General features: G+C 45.0%; 1 pseudogene, besides 1 other annotated feature; it reads left to right on the top strand.

Moving 5' to 3' along the window:
• The first annotated feature begins 1,893 nt into the window (after positions 1 to 1,893).
• On the top strand, positions 1,894 to 2,065 carry LOC124902844 (uncharacterized; annotated as a pseudogene).
• Positions 7,240 to 7,409: an enhancer, noted in NCBI's record as "active region_4709". NCBI's record gives its function as "activates an Ori minimal core promoter by ATAC-STARR-seq in GM12878 lymphoblastoid cells {active_cell/tissue: GM12878}" and the evidence as "EXISTENCE:reporter gene assay evidence [ECO:0000049][PMID:35858748]".

Genomic DNA, 10,966 nt, shown 5'->3' with positions numbered 1-10,966 from the left:
TAAAATGAGACATTATTTTATTTATTTTTTTTTTTGAGACAAAGTCTCACTCTGTTGCCCATCCTGGAGTGCAATGACCAGATCTCAGCTCACTGCAACCTCCGCCTCCCAGGTTCAAGCAATTCTCCTGCCTCAGCCTCTCAAGTAGCTGGGACTACAGGCATGCACCACCACACCTGGTTAATTTTTTTTTGTATTTTTAGTAGAGACTGGATTTCAGCATGTTGGCCAGGCTGGTCTCGAACTCCTGACTTCAGGTGATCCACCCACCTCAGCCTCCTAAAATGCTGGGATTACAGGCCTGAGCCACCGTGCCCGGCTGAGAAATTAATTTATAACTTACTACATAACTATGAGGCATCACTACAATTATTTTCTAATGGTGTTGATAAAATCCAGGTCAGGTTTTGTCTCGTGCTGTGGCAGGCTGCCCTAATTCTGCAACATAACATTTCCTAGAAGCGCTGGCTTCTTCTTAGCAGGAAGTATCCATTCTGACTATGCTTGAAAATATGAATTCAAGAATCTCAACTAAGAATCTCTCAACTAAGGGCTTTCAAGAAAAGCAAAGCAAAGAATGTGTGTTTCCTACTTCTGTCGTTACCCTTTAGAAAGAGGAAGAAGGGGACGATTTTTAAACAAGTTTTCTGGACAAACTATTTAAAAGGAGAGAATCAAAGCACAGGAGTGGTTTTAAGATCAAATAGTCTTGGGTTTGAGTTCCCAATTTGTCACTTATTGGTTGTGGAACTTTGAAGTTTGAATAAGTGGAACTTTGAAGTTTGAATAAGTTAAACTTATTGGTTGTGGAACTTTGAACAAGTCAAACACCAGTTTCTCTGAGCTTCAATTTCCAAATCTGTAAAACAACTCTAGTTGTTTAACTCTTAAGGTTGTTTAGTATTATCTAGTATTTATCTCTTAAGGTTGTTTGAGGATGAAATGAAATAATTAATGAAAAGTGCTGAGTATAGTGTCTGGTACACAGCAGATTCTCAATAAATCATAGCTAATTGTAGAGGAGGAGTTCTAGGGTGGCCTCCTCTACAATTAGCTACATTCACACCCTGCATGGGTGTGAGTAGGACCTTTGACTTGCTTGTAACCAATAGAATGTGATAAAGATGTTTAAAGTTATGATCATATACGTAAGGGTCCATCCTGCTAGCATACATGCTAGAGAGACTGTCACTCCATTGCTGGCTTGAAAGAAGTAAGCTGCCATGCTATGAGAGGGGGCCCATGGAGAGGGTCCCATGGCAAGGAACTGTGGGCAGTCTCTGGTAGCTAAGAACAGCCCACCTGCAGCCAGCAAGAAAACAGAGACCTCAGTCACACAACCATAAAAAAATGAGGCCAGGCACCGTGGCTCACGCCTGTAATCCCAGCACTTTGGGAGGCCGAGGCGGGCGAATCACCTGAGGTCGGGAGTTCGAGACCAGCCTGACCAACATGGAGAAACCCTGTCTGTACTAAAAATACAAAAAATTAGCCAGGCGTGGTGGCACGTGCCTGTAATCTCAGCTACTCAGGAGGCTAAGGTAGGAGAATCACTTGAACCCGGGAGGCGGAGGTTGCAGTGAGCCGAGATCGTGCCATTGCACTCTAACCTGGGCGACAAGAGTGAAACTCCATCTCAAAAAAAAAGAAAAAGGGAAAAAGAAAATGAATCCTCCCAACAGCCTGAATGAGCCTGGAAGTTAATTAATTCATAGTGGAGCCTCGAGGTTAGAATGCAGCCGCCTTGATTGAAGCTTTGTGAGACCCTGAGTGGAAGACCCAGCAAGGCCATGCCCAGGCTCCTGACACACAGGGCTGTGAGACAATCTATGTGTTGTGTTCAGCCTCTAGATTTGTGGTCATTAGTTACACAGCAATAGAAAACCAATACATATGTCTTCTCAGCCTTTTGGCTAAGATCAAGTGTAGAAAACCAATACGTAATATAAAGCAGATAATCAACACTCAGCCTGTAGCCATTGCTTGCCATCAACAGGTTCATCTTCCTTCTGCCAGTGTTTTAATGAGCACACTATTGTGTTGGGGCAGAATTCAAGAACTGGAGACAGAACCTACTCATGTTGAGTAGAGGAGGCAGAGATGAAAACCGAAAAATTACAATAAAGGGCAATAAGTGTTATGATTAAGATGCTTTTGTTGTGGTAAAATTAGCATAACATAAAATTCACCCTTTCAGCCAGGTGCGGTGGCTCACACCTGTAAACCCAGCACTTTGGGAGGCTGAGGTGAGAGGAACACTTGGGCTCAGGAATTCAAGACCAGCCGAGGCAACATAGTGAGATCTTATCTCTCTCTAAAAAAAAAAAAAGGCCAGGCATAGTGGCTCACGCCTGTAATCCCAGCACTTTGGGAGGCCAAGACAGGTGGATCACCTGAGGTCAGGAGTTCGAGACCAGCCTGGCAAATATGGTGAAACCCAATCTCAACTAAAAATACAAAAAATTAGCCAGGTGTGGTGGCGCACGCCTATAGTCCCAGCTATTCAGGAGGCTGAGACAGGAGAATCGCTTGAACCTGGGAGGCAGAGGTTGCATTGAGCTGAGACCTCACCATTGCACTCTAGCCTGGGCAAGAAGAGCAAAACTCTGCCTCAAAAAAAAATCGCCCTTTAAATTATTTTAAAGTGTGCAATTCAGTGGCATTTAGCACATTCCTACACTGTTGTGCAGCCATTACCACTGTCTAGCTCTAGAACATTTTCATTGCCCCAAAAGGAAACTCCATAGACATTAGGCAGTGACTCCCCATTCTCCACTTCCCCCAGCCCCTGGCTAATCTGCTTCTCTCTCTATGGATTTGCCTATTCTGGACATTTCAGACATACGTGTATTGTATGATATATGGAATCATAAAATATGTAGCCTTTTGTGTCTGGCTTCCTTCACTTAGCATGTTTCTAAGATTCATCCAAGTTGTATAATAGCATGTATCATGTATCTTAATTCCTTTTTATGGCTGAATGATATACTTTTTAAAACATATGTATGTATTTATATATTTATTTAGAGACAGGGTCTTGCTCTTTTGCCCAAGCTGGAGTGCAGTGGTATAATCATTGCTCACTATAAACTCAAACTCCTAGGCGCAGCAATCCTCCTGTCTCAGATCCTCCTGTAGGACAACAGATATACACCACCACACCCAGCTACCTGCTGGAATTATTCAAACTAGCCAATCCTAAACTGCTTTTTTTTTTCCTTTTTTCTTTCTTTCTTTTTTTTTTCTGTCACCCAGGCTGGAGTGCAGTGGCACAATCTCGGCTTATTGCAACCTCCACCTCCTGGGTTCAAGAGATTCTCCTGCCTCAGCTTCCTGAGTACCTGGGATTACAGGTACCCGCCACCACACCCAGCTAATTTTTGTATTTTTAGTGGACATGGGGTTTCACCATGTTGGCCAGGCTGGTCTGGAACTCCTGACTTCAGGTGATCCACCCGCCTAGGCCTCCCAAAGTGCTGGGGTTACAGGCGTGAGCCACCGTGCCTGGTCTGCTTTTTTTTTTTTTTTTTCCTATTCATATTTAATGTATCCAACTGATCTAAACAGTTTACCCAACCATGCTTTGATTTTTCTGCTGAAACCCCAATAAAGGCTGTGGCCTATGCCTTCCCCTCACTCCTTTCTGCCTCCTGACCAAACCTGGTGTTTCTCCATTTGGGTCTGCATGTGAGGCGTGCCATGCCCACTTCTCTGGGGAAATGTAAGTAATAAACAATTCTTTCGGCTGGGCGTGGTGGCTCACGCCTGTAATCCCAGCACTTTGGGAGGCATAAGTGGGTGGATCACGAGGCCAGGAGTTCAAGACCAGCCTGGCCAATATGGTGAAACCCCGTAGAGATGGGGTTTCAAAAATTAGCTGGGTGTGGTGATGCGTGCTTGTAGTCCCAGCTACTCAGGAGGCTGAGGCAGAAGAATCGCTTGAACCCGGGAGGCGGAGGTTGCAGCGAGCCAAGATCTGGCCACTGCACTCCAGCCTTGGTGACAGAGTGAGACTCCATCTCAAAATAAATAAATAAATTAATAAATAATAATAAATTAATTATTATTTCAATGGCATGGACTTCTCCATGTCATCATGCAGTCACCTCCATAAGTTAAAAAATCCTGCAGGTAGGCCGGGCGCGGTGGCTCATGCTTGTAATCCCAGCATTTTGAGAGGCCAAGGCGGGCGGATCACGAGGTCAGCAAATCGAGAGAGACCATCCTGGCTAACACGGTGAAACCCTGTCTCTACTAAAAATACAAAAAAAAAAAAAAATTAGCTGGGCGTGATGGCAGGCGCCTGTAGTCCCAGCTACTTGGGAGGCTGAGGCAGGAGAATGGCATGAACCCGGGAGGCGGAGCTTGCGGTGAGCCGAGATCGCACCACTACACTCCAGCTTGGGCGACACAGCGAGACTCCATCTCAAAAAAAAAAAAAATCCTGCAGATATAATTGAGACTTGAATTTCCTATTCAAAGGAAATAGTGGGTTTGTTTGTTTGTTTGTAGAGATGGGGTCTTGTTATGTTGCCCAGGCTGGTCTCGAATTCCTGGGCTCAAGGGATCCTCCTGCAGGGGCCTCCCAAAGTCCTAAGATTACAAGGATCAGCCACCACACCAGTCTGAATTTCTTTTTTGACCAAAGCTAATTTGAAGTTTCAGTCACTTGCAACTTAAAGAATCCAGACTAATACCTACATATCCACAGGTTCTATCTCAAACTCTAAAATCTACACTTTTTTTTCTTTTAAGATGGCGTCTCGCTCTGTCCCCCAGGCTGGAGTGCAGTGGCATGATCTCGGCTCACTGTAACCTCCACCTCCTGGGTTCAAGGGATCCTCCTGCCTCAGCCTTCCGAGTGCTGGGATTACAGGCATGCACCACCATTCCCGGCTAATTTTTTTTTTTTTTTTTTTTTTTTTTTGTATTTTTAGGAGGGATGGGGTTTCACCATGCTGGCCAGGCGGGTCTCAAACTCCTGACCTCAAGTGATCTGCCCTCCTCAGCCTCCCAAAGTGCTGGGATTACAGGCGTGAGCCACCGCCTAGAATCTGCATCTGAATAAGATCATTCTTTTGTAGCTAACCATGCATAGACCCCAGGCTAGAGATTGAGAACCCTTTTGGGGGGCACAAAAGGCCATGACAAGTTAACAAGCATAAGCAGGTGGAATGAAATAATGATCCGATTTGGGTTTCAGGAAAATTACTTCTAGCAGTTGTTTTGGAAGATGGATCAAGAGGGTAAGAGATGAGAGAGAGGCCACTCCCGGGCCTGACCACGCCACACACAGACTGGTGGGGCAAATTCCCCAAGCTCTTGTGCCATTCCCAGGCCACTGGGTATAAAAGGAAAAGGAAGGGATGTGGGCATTTGCTGACGCCCAGAGCCGGGTCTGCTCCCTTTGTGCTACTTGCCCAAGAGGGCGTATTTTTGGGAAGGGGTGTGTTCTGAAAGTAAGGAGGAAGTCGCCACCCCATTGGAAAGAATCTGCCACCCTGCCTTCCAGCTGAAATATCAGATAGTCTGTTCTTCTCTGGGCCAGCAGAGAACTGGAATGTCCAAGGATTTTTTTTGTTGTTGTTGTTTTCTTTTTTTTTTCTTTCCTTCTTTTTGAAAGACTGCATGAAAGAACATGATGTTTTAGGTTCACAAAGGGAAAAAAGATAAGGGAAAAGTGGCAAGTTAGAAAGCCCATTGTGTATGTTATCTCTGTTATTTTAGAATAAAAAAATAAGTATGGCAGACTGGGATCACAGTTCATGCCAGCCTGGTCCAAAATTGTTGCTTTTATCCTTTTCCCTTGGTGTTCCATTTTGGCAGAGGGTTTTCCTCAGGAGCTTTCTGGTACTCAGAACCACACTGCCTGGCTAAGGAAGAGACTGGGAGGCCCCAGGGCAGCTTTAGCTCTTAGGGGCAGACACACATTAGCTAAGCTCATAAACCCGATTGGATGAAACTGGAATGCCAATTTATTTAACAGTAGACTTTGTTTTTTTGTTTGTTTGTTTGTTTGTTTTGTTTTGTTTTTTGAGACAGACTCTTGCTGTGTCACCCAGGCTGGAGTAGAGTGGTGGCACAATCTTGGCTCACTGCAACCTCTGCCTCCTGGGTTCCAGCTATTCTCATGCCTCAGCCTCCCTTATAGCTGGGATTACAGGTGTGCACCATCACACTTGGCTAATTTTTGTATTTTTAGTAGAGACAGGGTTTCACCATGTTGGCCAGGCTGGTCTTGAACTCCTGACCTCAAGTGATCCACCTGCCTCAGCCTCCCAAAGTGCTGGGATTACAGTTATAACAGTAGACTTTGAACTGTAGACTTTGGCTAGCTGAGCTGGAGCTCAGACATTTAATGTAGCCAAATTCTCCAGTAAATAATCATAATGATGAAAGTAATAATAAGAGCTAACATTTACTGGGCACCTAATATGTGCTAGTCACTATGTTAAACACTTACATGAATTTTTTTCACTTAAACTGAAGTAGGTACTTTTGTTATCCTCATTTACAGATGAGAAAATTGCAACACAAGGAAGGTAAGTAATTTGCCCAAGGTCATATGTCAACTCCCCATCTAGCCCTTGAACTGGAAGTGAAACTCTGTGAACAGAAAGTTGACAGAAAACTTGGATGAGAGACTTTGTGGGGGCACAAGCAGAGCTGCTCTGGAGTACAAACAGAGCAGATGACATTCTCCCCACTTCCTCTCCCCAAGGCAGGTGGTTTTAGAAGGCTGGAGAGATGGCCTGGGCACACACTTCGGTGTCCCCACATTGAGTCCCTTCAACTTTGGCCACCATGAGGCTCCATCAGCTGGCTTCATGGGCCAGGGACCTAGACCAGTGGAAGCTGAAACTGAAGAGGAGAGTGAGGTAGACTGACAGGCTGGTTTGAGAATGTGTGTGAGGTTGTGTGTGTGTATACATGTGTGTCTGGAGGTGGGGAGGATACAGAAGTTATTTGGGAGTACTGTGGGAACGCTGGTGGTAGATGCTAAATTCGTTCTTGAGCATGTAGCCAGTGTCATTTGATCACACATAACTGACTGCCATTTGCATATTCCAGTTCTTGAAGCCAAATGACGGAGGTGACACTCAATGAGAAGGAACTGCCATGGGGACCCTGAGTGCCCATGTCACCAGAACCAGGGCATTGCTCCCTGAAGGTGGAGGCACAGGGGACACCAAATCGTAATCCGTCAAGTGTCACTTCCTCCAAGACGCCCCCTCTGATCCCTCCTCCCTTCCCCTCTTTCGGTGTTGTCTTACTATAACACACTCCCTTCACCCTCCACCACTCTCTCAGAGAACTCATCGAAAGTGGAGCTGAATCATTGTTTGTCAAACCTGTCTCTCCTCTGCTGGACTGTCAGCTCCATGAGGTCAGGAACCACTTCTGTCGGTTCTCTGCTCTAACCTTGGCACTTCACACAAAGTGAGAGCATAGCAAACCTTCAATAAACAATATTTCTTGGCTGGGCACTGTGGCTCACACCTGTAATCCCAGCTCTTCGGGAGGCTGAGGCAGGAGGATTATTTGAGACCAGCCTGGGAAACATAGAGAGACCCTGTCTCTACAAAAAAAAAAAAATAGATTAAAAAAAAAAATTAGGCTCCTTTGCTTATGGAGTAGCCATTCTTTTGTTTATTTACTTTGTTTTTTTCTTGAGATGGAGTCTCACTCTGTCACCCAGGCTGGAGTGCAGTGGTACGATCTCAACTCACTGCAACCTCCACCTCCTGGGTTCAAGCAATTCTCCTTCCTCAGCCTCCCAAGTAGCTGGGATTATAGGCACCCACCACCACTCCCAGCTAATTTTTCTATTTTTCTATTTTTTAGTAGAGATGGGGTTTCACCATGATGGCCAGGCTGGTTTTGAACTCCTGACCTTAGGTGATCCACCTGTCTCAGCCTCCCAAAGTGCTGGGATTACAGGCATGAGCCACCATGCCCTGCTCGTTTATTTACTTCTCTAATAAATTTGCTTTCACTTAAAAAAAAAAATTAGCCAGACATGATTGTGCATGCCTATAGTCCTAGCTACTCAGGAGGCTGGGGCAGGAGGATCACTTGAGTCTTGAGTCCAGGAGTTCAAGGTTGCAGTGAGCTATGATCACGCCACTGCACTCCAGCCTGGGCAACAGAGTGGGACCCTTTCTCTAAAAATAATAATAATAATATTTCTCTGCTCTTCAGCACAGACAAGTTTCTCAAGTCATCTTTCTTCCTTACCACCCATTCCTTTTTCTGCCTGTTCCAATCTTGGGAACCTCTATTCTTCCTCAGGGCCTTTGCACTTGCTGTGATCCTCTTAGAAGGCTCTTCCAGATAATAGCATTGCTTGCTCTCCCACTGTCTTCAGTTCTTTACTCGAATGTAACTTTAGCAGATCATCTTGTAAAAAATAGCAACCCTGGCCAGGTGTGGTGGCTGACGTCTGTAATCCCAGCACTTTTGGAGGCCAAGGAAGGCAGATCACTTGAGGTCAGGAGTTCGAGACCAGCCTGGCCAACATGGTGAAACCCCATCTCTACTAAAAATAGAAAAAAAGTAGCCAGGCGTGGTGGCACATGCCTGTAGTCCCAGCTACCTGGGAGGCTGAGACAGGAGAATTGCTTGAACCAGGGAGGCGGAGGTTGCAGTGAGCCGAGATTGCGCCACTGAACTCCAGCCTGGGCAAGAGAGCAAGACTCTGTCTCAAAAAAAAAAAAAATAGCAACCCTTTTCCCATCCTTGGTTCTTCCAATTCCCCTTAATCTGCTTTTTTTTTTCTGTAGCTCTATGACCATCTAAAATACTACATGTTTACTTGTTTATTTGTTTATAGACCATCTCTCAATCAGTAGAATATATGCTCCATGAGAGAGAGAGTTTGTATCTTTTGTTCCCTGTTTATTCCTAGCACACAATAGATAAATATTTGTGGAGAAAGAGGAAGGAAGGAAGGAAGGAAGGAAGAAAGGAAGGAAGGGAGGGAGGGAGGGGGAGGGGAGGGGAGGGAAGAGAAGAAGAAAGGGACGGAGAGAAGGGGAGGAAGGGAGGAAGGAATAGAGGAAGAAAGGAAGAACTGCAGCATTTCTCATTCAGGTAGAGAAGGAATTGAGGAGACTGAGAAGTGGCCAGAGAGGTAGGAAAAGAAAAGCCAGGCACATGAAGGATAATAGAAGTGTAGAGAGAAAAGCAATTTTTTTTTTTTGAGAGGGAGTCTTGCTCTTGTCGCCCAGGCTGGAGTGCAGTGGCGCGATTCAGCTCACCGCAACCTCCATCTCCCAGATTCAAGCAATTCTCCTGCCTCAGACTCCCGAGTAGCTCACATTACAGGTGCACACCACCACACCCAGCTAATTTTTGTATTTTTAGTAGAGACGGGGTTTCCCCATGTTGGCCAGGCTGGTGTCAAACTCCTAACCTCAGTTGATCCTCCTGCCTAGGCCCCCCAAAGTGCTGGGATTACAGGTGTGAGCCACCATGCCTGGCCAGCATTTTTTTTTTGTGGTGAAATATACATAACAAAATTTAACATTTTTAACCATTTTAATTAAGTGTATGGCTCTGTGGCACTAAATACATTCATATTGTTGTGCAACCATCACCACCATCCATCTCCAGAACTTTTTCTTCCCACAGTGAAACTCTGTACCCATTAAGCATGAACTCCCCATTCCCACCTCCCTCCAGCTCTTGGCAACTGCCATTTTGCTTTCCTTCTCTATGCATTTGACTATTCTAGGTATCTCACATAAGTGGGATCGTACAGTATTGTCTCATTGTGACTACCAGCATATACACAGGTTTCAAGGTCCTATTTGGGGTCCCCATTCCTTCTCCTGATAACTCTCTCTCCATAAATAATCTGATCAATTTCCAAATTAAATATCGCATATAGGCTTCATGGGCAAGTGACCTGTGCAGTTACCTGTAGGTCTCTGTGCTTGGTTTGATGTTATCCTCTTGACGTCTGGAAGTTATTAATAATTTTTTAACATGAGGCTATTTATCTTCATTTTGCACTGGGTCCCACAAATTATGTAACCAGTCCTGCTCCCAAATGTGTAACTTTACCCTGGACTACTCTTCTGAGCTCTTGTCTCATATACCCAGATGTCTACTTGATATCTCCACTTGAATGATTTAAAGACATGCCAGGCTGTTGTGGGAAGTCAGGGACCCCGAATGGAGGGACCAGCTGGAGCCGCGGCAGAGGAACATAAATTGTGAAGATTTCATGGACATTTACCCGTTCCCAAATAATACTTTCATAATTTCTTACACCTGTCTTACTTTAATCTCTTAATCCTGTTATCTTTGTAAGCTGAGGATGTACGTCACCTCAGGGCCACTATGATAATTGTGTTAACTGTACAAATTGATTGTAAAACATGTGTGTTTGAACAATATGAAATCAGTGCACCTTGACAAACAACAGAATAACAGCGATTTTCAGGGAACAAGGGAAGACAACCATAAAGTCTGACTGCCTGTGGGTTCGGGCAAAATAGAGCCATATTTTTCCTCTTGCAGAGAGCCTATAAACAGACATGCAAGTAGGGAAGATATTGCTAAATTCTTTTCCTAGCAAGGATTAATACTGTGGGAAAGGAATGCATTTCTGGGGGAGGTCTATAAACTGCCGCTCTGGGAGTGTCTGTCTTATGCGGTTGAGATAAGGACTGAAATACGCCCTGGTCTCCCGCAGTACCCTCAGGCTTACTAGGGTGGGGAAACACCCCGCCCTGGTAAATTTGAGGTCAGACCGGTTCTCTGCTCTTGAACCCTGTTTTCTGTTGTTTAAGATGTTTATCAAGAAAATACGTGCACCGCTGAACATAGACCCTTATCAGTAATTCCGCTTTTGCCCTTTGCCTTGTGATCTTTGCTGGACCCTTATCAGGAGTTTCTGATTTTGCCCTTGTCCTGTTTCCTCAGAAGCATGTGATCTTTGTTCTTTTTGCCCTTTGAA

This window comes from Homo sapiens, chromosome 11 (genome assembly GCF_000001405.40).
Source record: "Homo sapiens chromosome 11, GRCh38.p14 Primary Assembly".
In the NCBI taxonomy this organism is placed as follows: Eukaryota; Metazoa; Chordata; class Mammalia; order Primates; family Hominidae; genus Homo; species Homo sapiens.
This window is presented reverse-complemented; position numbering and strand designations above follow the sequence as displayed.